General features: G+C 33.1%; 1 protein-coding gene across 7 annotated transcripts in view, besides 1 other annotated feature; it reads left to right on the top strand.

Annotated features, from left to right (window-relative positions):
- The window catches only part of KCNH7 (potassium voltage-gated channel subfamily H member 7), a 467361-nt gene that overhangs the window by 163527 nt on the left and 286292 nt on the right, over nucleotides 1–17542 (top strand). The window lies entirely within an intron of this gene.
- Nucleotides 4748–4917: an enhancer, noted in NCBI's record as "experimental_55297 CRE fragment used in MPRA reporter constructs". NCBI's record gives its function as "activates a minimal promoter by MPRAs in K562 erythroleukemia cells, with activity observed for both the introgressed and non-introgressed 2:163526919 variant alleles {active_cell/tissue: K562}" and the evidence as "EXISTENCE:reporter gene assay evidence [ECO:0000049][PMID:34662402]".

The following is a 17542-nucleotide window of genomic DNA, read 5'->3' as shown; positions in this document are numbered from 1 at the left end:
TTCCTAATAATTGTGCTGATCATCTCTTAGTATTTTAGTGTATCATATATAATATATCATTTGTTTGTTTTGTTTTTGTTTTTCCATCCATCAGTAGAACCAGAACATAATATATCTTGTTCTATAAAATATCTGCTCGTTTTTCCTATTTTATTAGGCTGTTTATTGTAGTCTTAATTATTTGTTAGTTATTTGCTATAAATACCTTTTTCCAATTTGTAGTTTGTCATTATAAATTTCTTGAGTTGTGTTTTGATGAATAAAAGGTGTGTATTATAAGAATCATATTGATCAATACTTTCTTTCATGATTAATGCTTTTGAAGTCTTCATTAATAAATCTTTCCTTATTGCAAGGTCATAAAGATATTTTCCAAATTATCTTCTAAAACTTTTACAGTTTGCCTTTCATGTGTGATCTTTAATCTACCTAGAATTGATTTTTCAGTGTGCTTTGAAGTATATATAGATGTTTTTCTGAGTAAAATGGTCTGTCTTTTTATGCACTGATCTGCTGTGCCTTTTCTGTTCTATAGCCATTTTTCTTATGTATGGAAATGTTTCTGTAATTTCTGTTTTGTTGAATTGCTCTACTTGTTTATGTCTCTGCTATATCATCTCTTTTAATTATTATAGCCTTGACATGAATATTGATATCTCTTGGATAGATCCCCTAAATTTATTCTTTTTTAAAATCAGTGTTCAAGTCATTCATAGGCTTTTTCATTTCTATAAAAAACTAAGAATAAGCTTTTTAATTTCACAAAGAACACTTGTTAGGGTTTTATTGTACTTACATGGATCTGTGGTTCAATTTAGGAAGAAGTAGCATAATGAAGATATTGACTTTTTCTATTCAGGAATGTGGATATTGTTCCATTTACTCAGATCTTCTTAAATGCCTTTCATTAAAATTTAAAATCTTTTCCCGTAAAGGTTTCACACGTCTCTTATTAGATTATACTTAATTACTCAATAATTCTGCTACTATCATTTTTGCTTCATTCTCTAACACTTTTATCTCTAGTATATATAAATGTGATTGAATTTTATATTAATATGTACTCAGCAAAGATACTAAACTCTTATTAATTCTAAAAATTTATCTTTCCACCTTCCTTGTATATAAATGTGTCATCTGCAAATTCTTCTTTTTCAATTCATGTTCATTTTTCCTTTACCTTACTGTGTAGGCTAGATTATATTTACTAGCAATGATGATTGTGGACATTTTTTCTTGTTTCCAATCTTTAAGATAAAATTTATATTTTATCACTAAAAAATTGTTAAGTACTTATGTAAGTATGTTTTGTTGTTTTGGTTTGGTATTTTGGCAGATAGCATTAAGGAATTTTCTTCATTTTCTAATTTGCTAATTTCCTTTGTAAAAAAATATAAGTAGATGTTAAGTTGTAATGATTTTTAGCTCTATTGAAGATTATCACAAGGTTTTGCTGCTTTAATTTGTTTTGCTGCAGTAACCAAAAATCCAATGTCTTGGTGGCTTCCAACAAAAACACTCATTTATTCCTCATGTTACAGGATTGTTGTATGTCAAATATATATGGATTGAGCTCCAAATTTCTCCCCTTTCCAGGGGCCATACTGAATGAGCAACCCCTAACTGGGACATTGTATTCCCATGGCAGAAAGCAAAAGTGCAAGGGAGAAAACCAAATCATGCAATTGGGCATGGTGTTTTCTATTTCTTCACATTCTATCAGCCAAAGTAAATCACGTAGCCAAATCCCAGACCCTGGGATTAAGAAGCATGACAGGGTAGGGAAAGAATAAATTATTGTGACTAGATAATACAATCTGATATGTGGTGGATTCTACTAATTGATTTCTTAATGTCAAAATAACATTTCTGGGATTAACCTGACTGATAATGTTGTTTCGTCCTTTTCATACATTGCTAGATATGATTTGCTATATTTTACATAAAACCATTTGCTATATTTTATATAAAACCATATATCCATGAGTGATACTGATCTCTATTTTTTCTTTCTACTACTGCCCTTCTCTCCTTTTGGCATCAGTACAATTGTAGTCTAGAAAAAATAAATATTTATATAATCCTTTTGTAGAATACTCTGATAGAATTTGCAAATATTGCAAATATCAGCTATTTTAAAGTTTGGTAGAATTGTAAACATTCTTGGTTGCATGTGGAACTATTATAAAGTATTGATACAACCTTTTAATTATTATCGTCTTTTCCTCCATTTATTCTTAAATCAATTTAGATAAGCTACATTTTACTAGGAATTAGTCCAGTGCATCTAAATTTGCATTTTATTCTCAAAATGTTTGGTTTATTGTCTTGTTATTTAAACTATCACATCAGTAAATTTGAGCTGTTTTTCTTTCTTAATTTTGTTTATTGGTGTGTTCTTTTATTCTTGAAATACTAGAATTTGCCTATTTTATTGTTTTATTTTAAAGAATATTTGGGCTTACTTTTAAATATCATATTTTAATATTCTGTGTAGTAATTCATCATATGCCTGGTAAGGAGAATTTAAGTTAATAAAAATAAAAAACTTAGAACAATGCTCAGCATACAGTAATCGCTATGTGGGTGTCAGCCAATACTATTATTTCTATTTTTTCTGCTCTTCATTTCATTAACATTTGTTATTATTTCATACATTCTTAAGTTTGTTGCTGAGTTTATTCATCTTGTTTAAATAAATAAAAATATTTAGTGTTATTACACTCCCTCTAAATACTACTTTAGCTGTATCCTACACGGTTTTAACTATTTTTGTTATTGGTCGTTTTCAAGTATTTTTAAAGTTTCATTATTGTTTCTTTGAGCCATGAGTTACATTTACAAGTGTGTTTCTAAAATTTTCAAGTATTTGATCATCTTCAAGTTGTTTCTTTACTAATGATTGTTAACAGAATCATTGTGATCAGAAAATATGGTGTACATAAACTCAATCTCTTGAAATTTGCTAAAAGTTACTTTATGCCTATTATTTAGCCACCTTTTGTAAATATTCCATGTAGATATTGGCAATGTTTTGTATGTTTCATTAAATCAAGCTGTTATTTTTGTTTGTCAAATGTTTTGTCTAAATATTTTTGTCTGCTTGAAGGATCAGTACTGTGTAGGAAAATCTCCCACAACGATAATGAATTGATCAATTTTTTTCCTGTGGTTCTGTCAATCTTTGCTTTATGTTTATTGAAGTATATGTTAGTTACACGTCATTAGTTACATGTAATTTTTTCGTTATACTTCAGTAAATTTCTGCTTTATGTTTATTGTGCTATCTCATTACTATATGTATGTTTATAGTTGTTTAAAGTGAATTAAATTTTAATCATATATTTTGAACAATTAATCTCCAGTTTCTCTAGTATCTTTAGATATTGTTTTAGGTCTTAAACCTATATTATTTGTAATAATACAGCTATATCAGCTTTCCTTTGATTCAATTTGCTTGGTCCTTCTTTTTTTATTAGAGCATATTTATTTCTTTTTTTTCTCTTTTTGAAAATTTTTATAGATTTAGGAGCTACAGTTGTGCATGTCATGCAGTTATGTTACATAGATATATTGCATAGTGGTGAAGTTTGGGTTTTTAGTGTACCCACAACCCAAATAGAGAACACTGTACCAAATAGGTAGGTAGTATGTCATCCCTCAGTCCCCTCTCACTATCCCACCTTTTGGAGTTGCCAACGTCTGTTATTTCACTTTGTATGTCCATGTGTACTCATTGGTTACCTCTCACAAATAAGAACATGCAGCTTTTGACTTTGTGTTTCTGAGTCATTTCACTTAGGACTATGTCCTCCAGTTCTATGCATGTTGCTGCAAAAAAAAAAAAACATGATTTCATTTTTTTAATGGCTGAATAGTAATCCATGGTATATATAGTCCACATTTTTCATCCAATTATCCATTGGTGGACACTTAGGTTGATTCCATGATTTTGGTATTGTGAATAGTACTGCAATAAACATATTAGTCTAGGTGTCTTTTTGATAAAATAATTTCTTTCCTTTTGGATAGATATCCAGTAGAAATGATGGTTCTCTTTTTTGTTTTAAGAGATATTTCCATGCTGTTTTCCATAGATGAACTAATTTACATTTCCACCAATAGGGTATAAATGTTCCCTTTTCTCTGCATCCTCACCAATGTCTGTTGTTTTTTGACTTTTTAATAATAACCATTCTGACTGGTATAAGTTGGTATCTCATTGTGGTTTTAACTTGCATTTCTCTGATGATTAATGATGTTGAGCATTTTTTTTCATATGTTTCTTGGCCACTTATATGTCTTCTTTTGAAATTTTTGTATACTCTTTTACTTTAACTTGTATTTTCACTTCTTAGTCTGATAATCTTTTTCTTTAAGTTAAATTTATCATGATTACTGTTTTATTTGTTTTATTTCTTTCACCTTATTTTATGCTTTTGATTTTTTCCACCTTTTTGGAAATTTTTTTCCACCTTTCTTGTGTTTTTTAAATTAGGGTTTTTTTTGGTCTTATTTCATTTTTTTCTACATTAATATTTAGCAAAACTAATCATTACAGGTTATCCTAGGAAATGTAGCCTACATAGCTTATTTGACAAAGTATGAATCTTATCACTGTCTCACCTGCTTCCTTAACAATAACAGGGCAATGGAAATGTAATTACCTCCCAATTTATATCCTATTATTTTCTAGTAATTTAAATCTATTATTTACCTTTGAATTGTTTATACAGTCAATATTTTTCTTTTTTTTTTTTTTTTTTTTTTGACAGAGTTCGCTCTTGTTGCCCAGGCTGGAGTGGAGTGGTATGATCTCAGCCCACTGCAACTCCACCTCCCGGGTTTAAGCGACTCTCTTGCCTCAGACTCCCGAGTAGCTAAGACTACAGGCATGCGCCACCACACCCAGTTAATTTTTGTATTTTTAGTAGAGGTGGGGTTTCGCCTTGTTGGCCAGGCTGGTCTCAAAACTCCTGACCTCAGGTGATCTGCCTGCCTCGGTCTCCCAAAGTGCTGCAATTACAGGCATGAGCTACCATGCCTGACCAACTGGATATCTTTTCTAATAATCCCTTCTTGCATTTGCATTTCAAACATTCTTTTGGGAGTCAATTTTCTTCTTTTGTTTGTTTGTTTGAGACCGAGTTTCGCTCTTGTCGCCCAGGCTGGAGTACAGTGGCGCAATCTCCTGCTCACTACAACCTCCACCTCCTGGGTTCAAGTGATTCTCCTGCCTCAGCCTCCCGAGTAGCTGGGATTACAGGCACGCTCCACCACACCTGGCTAATGTTTGTATTTTTAGTAGAGACAGGGTTTCACCATGTTGGCCAGGCTGCTCTTGAACTCCTGACCTCAGGTTATCCGCCCGCCTCGGCCTCCCAAAGTGCTGGGATTACAGGTGTGAGCCACCGCTCCCGGCCTTCTTTCTTAAGCACATACTTTAGACATTACCTCAGCACTATTGACATTTGGGACGAGACAATTCTTTGGGTGGGGGGCTGTCCTATGCAATACAGGATGTTTAGCAGCATTCCTGACCTCTACTCACTAGATGCTAGTAACTCCAGTTATTATGATCAGAAATGTTCTAGATATTACCAAATATTCTCATATTCTCTGAATGAGCGGTGCAAATATGGGTACCAAAAATTACTCCCATTTGGGAACCACTGCTTTAAAAGTGTCCTTGTTATTAAACTCTGTCTTGTTCTTTTGAGAGCAATAGCAAAATAGAAACCTTTCCGAAGAGTTGTACACCTCCTAGATTTATAATTCTATGTTGAGAGTTGTTTTCTTTCAGCAATTTGAAGATTCATTCCACTGATTTTTGGCTTCTGTTGTTGCTTTTGAAATACTATTATTCCTTTGAAGCTAATATGTCTTATTTAACTTGTCTTTGAAGTCCTGCAGTTTTTCAGTGATGTATCTAAGTTACATCATTTTATTAATGAATGTAAGTCAGTCTACATTTTATTTGCTCTACATTGGATTCATTTTGACTTTTGAGTTTAAACAGTCACATCTTTCAATGCTTTTAGAAAACTCTAAAATATCTTCAAAAATCTAAAAAAATCTAAATAATCCCTTTAATTATTTTCTGCTTATCTTTCTCTATGACCCTTTACTTGATATCCACCTGAACATATAACTTCTCACTCTATCCTCTATAATTCTTAAGCTCTTTCAGATTTTAAATCTTTCTGACCATCAAGGCTGCCTTTTCGTTACATTTCTTATATCTACCCTCTAATTTTTAAAATTACCTTTAGCTGCATTATCTGCTATTGAACACATCTATTAAGTTTTTAATTTCAAGTATTACATTTCTAATTTCCATAAGACTGTTCTTTTCCAAATTTGTCAGCCATTTTAAAGTTTCTAAATCTTTGTATGTACTTACGATGGTTTTTACATTTGTAAGCAAAATAATTATAGTTGTCTCATAGTTTTTGACAGGTCATCCCAATACTTAAAATATTTGAAATTGTAAAGATTCCATCCTTTTTTTCCTACTGCCTTTCATTCATGATACCTTATTCTTGTGTGTGTTTTGTGAGTGTGTGCTCATAGTCAATATAACTTTATCTAGGAGAACATTATGAGCCCTTCTTGGAAGATTTATTTTCTTTTCCAAGGAGAAGTAGTTCCTGCATACGTCAAGCCCTAGGGAAAGCTAGGTGAAACCCTGTATCACTTTTGTTCTGTATTTGGCATTTTACAGATGGCTCAGGTAACTTAATTTGAGTCACAGCTCTACATCAGTGGTGGCTTGTGATTTTTAGTTCTCATGAAAAGTCTTGTCCTTCCTCTACCTGGTAACAAGCTAAAGGAAAAAATATTCACTGTGTACTTCTGTTGAGTGTAGTTTACTGGAAGCATAGTCTCTTGAGGCTCTAAGTTTCAAGTTGTCATATTTTCAAAGTTTGGTAAACTCTAGATTTTATGTCTTGTTATCTACACAGTGAGCAAATGTTCAAATTTAAGCCCACCATAAACATGGATTGGTAGATGACCTCAGGGTAGCTGTCAAGTTCAGATAATAGTTACCTTCCTAGATTCTTCCTTTCCCTTATTTTGGCTTCCTGGTATTTTTCCTACTTTCTTGACATCTCTGCAATAAAATTAAAAATATCATAAAAGAATTCAATAAGAGCTTTTAGTTATTTTGAAGCATGAACATTAATCACAGAGTTTTTCTGATATACTGTTGAAAATGGAAATCAATTTTATATGCTTTTAAAAACTAGCTTATATAAATAAACTGAAGCCTAACAATGTTATCTACTTTAATCATCCAATAAATATTTATTGAATATATACAACATTCTACTCACTGTTTTAAGCATTTAACATATCATGTGACAGAACAGAATTCATGCCTTCAATGAACTTAGTATATTCTAGAGGGAGGAAATAAAACAACAAACACAAAACAAGTACATAAAAAGAGTAGCTTTGGACACCAAAGAGTGCCATAAAGCAAATAAAGCAAGGTGATGTAGTGGAGTTATCTGAGACAAGGGACCTGATTTATCTAGGAATTGGAACCAGTAGATCTGAAGAATTAAAATATTAGTGAAACCTGAATAATGAGCACTAGACACTCATTCAAAGGGGAAGGGTATTCCAAACAGAAGGAATAGCAGTTGCAAAAGTTCTGAGATACATATTAGTTTGAGTGTTTGAGGAAAGAAATATAGCAGTGTAACTAATTATAGAAGATGAAGAGTTGAGTAGAGGAATATATGGTCAGAGGTAAAGGCACAGGAGAAATAAAGTATATAGGCCATGGTGAGGGATTTGGATATTTTAATAAGTTGAATGTGGAACCACTAGAGTGCTTTATACATGGGAGTAGCATGATCTGATTTACACTTCTGGGAAATCCACCTAGCTGATGTATGAAGAATGGATGGAGTCCGGGCATGGTGGCTCACGCCTGTAATTCTATCACTTCAGGAGACTGAGGCAGGAGGATCACTGGAATCCAGGAGTTTGAGAATAGCCTAGGCAAAGTAGTGAGACCCTATCTCTATGAAAAATAAGAAAAATTAGCTGGGCATTGTGGTGTACACCTATAGTCCCAGCTACTCAGGAGGCTGATGTTTGAAGATCGCTTGAGCCCGGGAGGTCGAGGCTGCAGTGGGCCATGATTGTGCCACTGCACTCCAGCCTGGGTGATGGAGTGAGATCATGACTCCAAAAAAAAAAAAAAAAAAGAAAAAGAAAAAAGAATAGACTAGAAGGTATAGTTCTGACGAAAGAGTGGAATGGATAAAGTTTTGAGAGAAAATATGCAAATAAGAAATGATGGTATTCAACAAGAAAGTCAGAGGACATGGCAGTGACTAAAGATCAAAATAAAAGAAAAGATAATTTTTAATGACCAGAGGAACTAAAAGGCCAGGCTTGGGATGGACAGTGGAAATCTCCAAGAACACTGGCAGAGATGTCAGCAGCTTGTTGCTGACATCATCCATAAATGATATAATGTGATCAAGAAGTTAGCAAATGACAATAAAAAGAAGTAAAGGATGGTAAAATTTGATAAGGTGCTTTAAAGGAGTTGTTTTTTAAGGAGGAAAGGGTAGAGACAGGAAGGACCAGTAGTGGACAAATAAAACACTTATTGTAGCTACAGGTCCTAAAGGCACATGAGGTGTGGGAGAAAAAGAAAAGAAAAAGCACCCTAGGTTTTATTTGAACATAGCAGGGGAACAATAGTCTCAGGAGAGATCAAGTTTTCACTAAGAGTATGGAAGTGAAGAAAATCATAGATGAGTTTGAAGATAGAAGGACACGTTCTTTGGATGCAGTGAGAATTCTCAAAAGTATTGTGAAATGGTTTAGGAAGGAAGTTGTGGGGAGGGGCGGGGGGCAGAATTTATTAGGGATTGTATGGAGTATTTGGAATATTTGGAAGATGATAATTAATAAGATGTTAGAGAATCCAAGATGGTTGAGCTTCTAGCGCTGTTGGAAGTGAACAGAAGTGTGAGGCATGATGACATTAGTGCTGAAAATTAGGGAATATAGAAGTGATTGCAAACCAAGGGACAACTGGCCTCCCTATTTGGTTTAAGTTTAGTTGCCTTCTAGAGCACAAGGTAATGGAGGATCTAAACTCCTAAACTCATTCTAAGCAATAATTTTCATGAAAGGATGTCCTTGATGTGGTAATTCTTGTTATTCTCTTAATCTACACTAAAATAAAGAATATAATTATAAAAATGAAAAAAAGTTTTTCTCTATACCCTTGAATCGCTATCAGTGTTATATGTGTACCATGCTGTGCAAAATACTAGTTTTCACATACCTTATCACATTTGTGAATGCTTTGAAGCAGCAAATTTGATGAGACTAAGGAAGAATAAGGAGGCTAGTTAGAGTTGGTGAGGAAAAAATATGCAAAGAAGCGAAGATGACTCCCTGCATAGTTTAATTGAATTTAATTAGACTAAAGAAAATTAATCAGGGCATAGGATCCATGTAGCAAAATACCTGATTATTAAATCATTGGATAATTAGAAGTAGAGAGTGATCAAGATTTTCTTAGTAACAACCCAAGAATGAGTTGCTTATACAAGATAGCAGGTTAGGAATAGTCTCTCTTTTTCTAGTTTGCAACAGTTTTTATTAGTATTTAGAAAATTTTTCTATCATCAGTTTTTTAGAGAGGTATTAGAAAAAGAACTCCATTTATGAAATGACAAATTTAGTTTTTTCTGGTAATTTCACATTTTTGGTGCCAAACATAACTTTTCATCAAAATACATAAAAAATATGTTAGTGAGCTATATTTAAAATCTTGTGTTCTTAGAGTCTATGTAAGTTTTTAAAATCTCAATTATAAACAAGCTCATTCTTATTTGTAGACAATCCAAAATCCTCTACTGTGACTTTGGATTTATTCAATATACCTATAATAAAAATGAGGATTTTGTTTGCTTTTTACACTCAATAGTGGTAAGACAATAAAAGAATACAAATTGCAATTTGACATGACTTGTGTGATAGAAGATTTTTTCAAGATTATTTTAAATCATCTGTGTTCTTACAGAATTTATAAAAAGAAATGAGAAATGAAGTTCAGAATACATATCAAAATTGTGAGCAAAATCCAAAGAATTTTTTTTCACTTTTCATAATGCTTTTATAGGAATAGAAGTACACTTTCAAAGTTAATAATAAATGATTACAAAATGAGTTGAGTATGACTAGTTAAGAAAGAAGTAGAGAAAGACCAAGAGTGATATTCAAAATATTTAACATCTCCACATCTGAACTAGCCATAGCTGGGGCCTGATGTAAACAAGTTTTAGCCCTATAATAGTGATATGTCCTTTGTGAAGGGCTGGGAAGCCAGATCAGCCATAAGAAGAGCACTTGGGGAACTTAATGCTGAATCTTTTCTGTTAAACACTTTGACTGGTAAATACATTTTTTCAATATTTAACAATCAGTATGTATATCTACTGTATACTAACTGAAAACAATATTGCCCATCCCTACCTAATACTTCTATATAAAAGGACATCATATATTGCATATGGAATAACTAATACCTTATACAAACTCCAATTTATTATTGTAATCTACGATATTTCAATTACTTTCTCTGTCTCTCCTTCCTCTTCTCACCAAGTCTCATGAAGCAGTGTAGTGCAGCAAGAACAGGATGCAATTAGAATTAGATTCAGATTCACATCCCAACTTCACTATCAACTAATTGTGTATCAGTGGGCAAATTATTTAACTTCTTTACCATTCAATGTCATCTTCTGTTAAATGAGGCTTGTGAGTTTTAGAGACAAAGAATAAAAGATATCCAGCATAGCACCTGCTGTATGACAGTTATCCAATAAATGGTAACTGTTGCTACTGCTTTGAGAATTGGGAAGAAATTGCTAACACAATTTTTCACCTGGAGTTTTATCCAGGATTAGGCTTTAGGATGTCTAAGAATCCTCTAAAATTAAAAGTGAAAGAGGTTATATGTGCACATATGCACTTCTCTGGAGAAAGGGTCAATAACATTTGTAAAGTTCTTAAAGGGTGTCTTGAATTTAAAACAGTTGGAAAGAAAAAGTGAAGACAAGTTGGCAGAAAGAGGAGGGGGAATGACATGGAAAGAGAAAGAAATGAAGATCAGGGGGAAAGATGGCAACTAAACAGAGGAACCAATGTGGAGAATTTGCAGAGAATGCAGACTATAGCATTGGCATGGTCTTGGAAAGAAAGTTGAGTTGGTAGAAATGAGTAGAGGAGGTCAGCTAAAAATCAGTGAATCCGGACAGAAAATATTGCAGATTTGTCATGGTTTCTGCAGTAAGGCAGTGATTCTTAACAAATTCCTGGGAAGCTATTATATTTTAAATCGCTTCTGTTTCACCTTTCCTTGATACTCAAAACAATTTACATAGCTCAATTTATTGTAATGAGTGTTTTACATTGATATTTCTATCCCATTTTGAGACATCCAAGCCATTTCATCACTGTAATATTATCATATTGTCTGATGCTACTTATTTTCAATACTAATATTAGGGTTTGATGAAGCTTATTCAGAATGCTTTTCCCTACACAGGTTAAATGTTTAGATTTGCATTTCAATTTCTATTCACTCTTGACAGCTGATCATTTTATTATCTTGAAAATTTTCACAGTGGGGCAACAGTTAATGATGGCTTTCTCAAAGAGCAAACTAATCAGCACTACATGAAAAAGGAGAATTTAGTGATAATCAGAATCATGTGTTACTGTAAGAGGAAAGTGAAAAAGAGAAATTCAACTTGAATTTATTGTCATTAGTAAATCATCAAGAATTATCATCAAAATATATCCTCAAATAAAGCTAAATATGAAAAAGAAACAGATGTTGATGAAAACATAACAAGAAAAATTTCTGCAAATGTAAAATTTTTTTCTCAAACACAAGAAGGTAAAATGTGAGTATTGAAATTAATATTACAGGATACAGTGTCTTAAAATGCATATTCAACAGACGTCTGCCATGTGCCTACTCTGTGCCAGGCACAAAACTCATAGCAATCATATTGTCACTTCACAATAATGCAATTACTGATTTTACAGATGAATTACCCATGGCTACACAACCTTAATAACAACTAGGTTTACCACGAACCTATCATGTGCTTACACTTCTCATTGATTGTCTTTCATCCTAATAACCACCATGTAAGAGAAGCCTTACTTTTATATCCCTATTCTCACCTATTAAATAAGGCCAAGATAAATAATTGGCTTATATAGCTGGAAAGGCATCAGAGGAGTAAGAAGAACCCAAGTCTTTTGACCTCAAATTCAGTGCTTTTTATGCTATTTCATATTTATTCATTTACTTATTCTCAGAACAAATATTTATTGTGCACATAATAATTGCCAGGCATTTATTAAAAGCTGTGCACACAATCATGGTGAATAAACATTCTTATTCCTTATTCTAATGGAGTTTATACACTTTTAGGTGAAACCAGTTGTAAACAAGCAAGCAAACAAGGGCTATAAAGAAGAGTACAGTTTACTGAGATCAAAGAAAGGAGGGTGATCACAGAGGACCTCTAAAGGAACTAGCTGTAAAGAGAGAGCTTTTATATGTTCCTGTCAGACAGAAGATGTGCAAAGACTCTGAAATAGCAGACAGACTAGATTTGCTAATTTCTAATGAACACAACAATCAAAGACTTTTTTGGCACACAGGATAAAACTGTGTTTTTACATAGATCATATAAATTGATTGACTAGTATTTCAGGTATCTGTCTGTAATTTGCTTTGCCTAAAACAAGCTTATTTGAAAATAGAAGCATATATATTTCACAAATATATGTGAAATCCACAATAGTGTGTAAGTAGTGTGTTAAATGAATGCATTTTACTGTCATCAATACTACATGGAAAATCAGAATTTTAATGCAATCTAATTTTCTTTTCTTTTCTTTTCTTTTCCTTTTTTTGAGACAGAGTCTCGCCCTGTCACCCAGGCTGGAGTACAGTGACGCGATTGTGGCTCACTGCAACCTCCACCTCCTGGGTTCAAGCGATTCTCCTGCCTCAGCCTCCCGAGTAGCTGGGACAATAGGTGCGCGCCACCATGCCCGGCTAATTTTTGTAGTTTTTAGTAGAGACGGGGTTTCACCATCTTGACCAGGCTGGTCTTGAACTCATGACCTCATGATCCACCCACCTCTGCCTCCCAAAGTGCTGGGATTAGAGGCGTGAGCCACTGCGCCCAGCTTAATTTTCTTTAAAGTTGAAAAAAGCATCATACAACAATAATATGAGAGTTTGGAATTGCTCCCTTATTTAAAAAAACAAAAAATAAAAAATAATTTAAAAAACCCAACATCAGGACCTGTTATAACCTCTGCAGACTCTGAAAAAGAGATGATGCAATAGTTCTTTGGAAACATCTGTCAGTGTCATTGGATTGCTCTTTCTTCTCATTTCCTTTTCTAAATGTGTAGTATCTCCTTCTCAATATTACATGACCTTTATCCCATGAAGTTTATGATATTTTCATTACCTAAAATAGCTTCTTACCGAGACATTTTTTATGTATCAGAATTCACAGATCCCTGTCTATACCACAGACATTGAGCCTCCAAGGTATCAACGATATCAACAACTGACACACCTCATTTGGATATAGGGAAACGTTTAGGGTTTTTACGCCTTACAGACACTTTCATAAATAATCTTCTATTACATACAATGACCTTTCATGTTCATAAATATAAATAACGCTCTCAAAAAATTAAAGATTCCCAACCATATTTATTTTTTTCACTGTATTTTATTAAAGATGCAATACCCCACTTTCTGTTTAACATCTGTTTTATCTTTTATAAACTTTCTTTCTTGCTATGATCTTTCTTCCACACTGAATTCTCTACCTTTCCAAATTCCTGTTGAAAACAGGAATGAACTGTTTTGGTAACCTCCTGAAAATTTGAGGGATAAAAATTGATTTTATTTTTCCTAACAGGTGAAGACCCAAAGAGTTTGCATTGACAGAGCACTTCTCTATTGGCAGGCAGGAGGTAGCAACTGAGCTATAACACTGTACGGTTAGGGCACTGGAATCGTAATATTGTCACATTGAATCTTGCATTGGAATGTATCATTCTTCAAAACATTTTGAAAATAATTTTAATGTGTGGTAGTTTCTTCAAAATAATAATAAATCAAATATTTTAAAAGTTACTGTAAGATAGATTCCTTGTCAAATAAAGGGCTATCTTATTGTACAGAACTTGTTGTTAACAATCACTGGGAAGCGTGGTATAGAGGAGACAATACTGGGGTCTACTGGTATCTAATAAATTAAGTCTTTTTCTCAGTCCCACCTTGAAGTAGCTGTATGATAAACAGATAGTTTAACTTCTCATGGTGTTTATTTCGACATATACCATTTTAAAGGTTGTGTTAGATTTAACACATTGTAATATTTCAAGCAGGTGTTTTTTGTTTGTTTGACAGTGTATAAAAAATAACTGAATTAATTTCTAAACTGAAAAATTAGGAGTTTTTGAACAAATCTAACAGGCAGAAATTCCAGAATGGTATAGTTGAAATCAACAGCAGCATCAACCAATTGAATATAATTAATGTCTACAGAATACTTATTCAACAACAGCAGAATACACATTCTTCTAAAGTTCACATGGGACATTCACCAGAATAGAACACATTCTATGCCATTAAGCATACCTTCACATTTAAAATAAAAGGAATTGTACAATGGATACTCTCAGACCACAAAGAAATTAAACTGGAAATTAATGACAGAAAGATAACTGAAAGATCCTCAAGTACTTGAGGATTAAATAACACATGGGTCAAACAAGAAATTTTAAGAGAAATTAAAAAGACTTTGAACTAAATGGAAATTAAAACAGAATTTGTCATAATGTGTGGGATGCAGAGAATGCAGTACTTAGAGGGAAATGTGTAGCATTGAATGCTTATATTAGAAAAGAAGAAATAAGTAAAATCAATAATCTAATTATCCATTTTAGGAAACCAGAAAAGAAGAGCAAATGAAATCCAAAGTAAGCCTAAGAAAAGATATAACGAAATTAGAGTGGAAATCAATGAAATGAAAATAGGAAATTAATAGAGGAAAACCGATGAAACAAAAAGCTGGTTTTTTAAAGTGAGCAATACAATTGATAACCCTCTAGGCAGGCTAACTACATAAAAACAGAAAACACAAATTATTAATATCAGAAAGGGAAGAGGAGACATCACTACACATTCCTTGGATATTAAAAAGAAAATAATCTTCCAAAAGATAAAATACCTGGCCTAGATGAGTTCAATGGTGAGTTCTACCAGAAATTTAAGGAAGAAATTATAACAATTCTCTATATCTCTTCAAGAAGATAGAAGTAGCAGGGATACCTTCTAATATTCTATGAAGCCATCATTACCCTAATACTAAAACCAGATGAAGATATTACAAGAAAAAAAACTAGAGACCAATATCTTTTATGAATATAGATAAAAAATACTTCAACAGAATATTATCAAATTCAATTCAACAATGTATGAAAAGAATTACATGCCACTATTGGCCAGGCGCAGTGGCTCATGCCTGTAATCCCAGCACTTTGGGAGGTTGAGCTGGGCTGGATCACTTGAGGTCAGGAGTTTGACACAAGCCTGGCCAATACAGTGAAACCTCGTCTCTACTAAAAATACAAAAATTAGCCAGGTGTGGTGGCGCATGCCTGTAATCCCAGGTACTCACGAGGCTGAGGCAGGAGAATTGCTTGAACCTGGGAAGCAAAGGTTGCAGTGAGCCAAGATTGTGCTACTGCACTCCAGCCTGGGTGACAAAGCGAGACTGAGTCTCAAAAAAAAAAAAAAAAGAATTATATGCCACTATCAAGTAGACTATATTCCAGTATGCAATATGCAAGGCTACTTTAACATTTGAAAATCAATTAATGGAATCCATCACATCAACAAGCTAAAAAAGAAAAGTTAAATGATCAAATCAACAGATACAGAGAAAGCATTTGTAAAAATCTATCACTTGCTCATGATAAAAACTCTCACCAAACTAGCAATAGAAGGTAACTTCCTCAACTTGATGAACATCTAAAATTATCTAAAGCTGCCATTATACTTAATTTCAAGAAACTAGTAGTTGTTCCCTCTAAGATTAGAAACAAGGCAAGGGTGTCTCCTCATGTCATTCTTTTTTGGCTTGTACTGGAAATCCTAACTAATGCAACAAGACAAGAAAAGGAAATAAAAGCTTTAAAATTGGGAAGGAAGAAATAAAACTCTCTTTGCAGATGGCATTATTGTCTGTGTAGAGCATTCAAAAGAATTAACTAAAAAATCCTCCTGGAACTAATAAGCAATTATAGTAAGGTTGTAAAATACAAGGCTAATGTACAAAAGTTAATCACTTTCCTATGTACCAAGAATAAATGATTGGAATTTGAAATTTAAAATATAATGCTAATTACATTAACACCACAAAAATGAAATGCTTAGTTATAAATCTAACAAAATATATACAACCTCTACATGAGGAAAACTATAAAACTCTGACAAAAGAAATCAAAGAGGAGCTAAATAAACGAAGAGAAACCCCATGTTCATAGACAGGAAGATTGCCAACTTGATCTGTGAAACCAGCACAATCTCAATCAAAATTCCAGCAAGTTATTTGTTGATATAAATATCAACAAACTAATTCTAAGGTTTATATGGAAAAGTAAAAGACCCAGAACATCATATTCAATATTAAAGGAGAAGACAAAAGTCCTAAGACTGACATTACCCAACTTTAAGACATACTGTAAGGCTATAGTAATCAAGACTGTGATATTGACAAAAGAATAAACAAACAGATCCATGCAATGAAATAGAGAACTCAGAATTAGACCCATGCAAATATAGTCACCTATCCTTTAACAAAGGAGCAAAAACAATATGATGGAGAAAAACATTGTCTTTTTGACAAATGATGCCAGACAAACTGGATGTCCACACAAATAAAAAAATAACAATAATTAAAAAAAAAAGCTGAGCCTGTACCAGTAGATTTGGTGTCTGGTAAGCACCCCCTTCCTGGTTTATAGTTGGCCGTCTTCTTCTTGTGTGCTCCCATGGCAGAAGGAATGAGGGTGCTCTCCAGGGTATCATTTATATAGGCAATAATCTAATTCCTGAGATCCCCACCCTCATCACCTAATCACCTACAAAAATCCCCACACCCTGATGCCATAACATTGGGGGTTATGATTATTTCAACTTATATATTTGTAGGAATGCCACAAACTTCCAGTCTGTAATACCAAAGCCATCTAGAATTTGTTATTTGTTATCTTCTATGAGTTTTATAGTTTGCCTTTTATATTTAGTTCTATGATTCATTTTGAATTAATTACTGTGGAGATCGTAAACCTAAATGAGAATGGAAAATGGTACAGTCACTTTGGAAGACAGTTTGGCAGTTTCTAACATACACTTACATATATCCAGCAATCACACATTTTG

Source organism: Homo sapiens, chromosome 2 (genome assembly GCF_000001405.40).
Source record: "Homo sapiens chromosome 2, GRCh38.p14 Primary Assembly".
NCBI lineage: Eukaryota > Metazoa > Chordata > Mammalia > Primates > Hominidae > Homo > Homo sapiens.
Note: the sequence above shows the minus strand (reverse complement) of the source record. Positions and strands in the feature narration are given on the sequence as shown.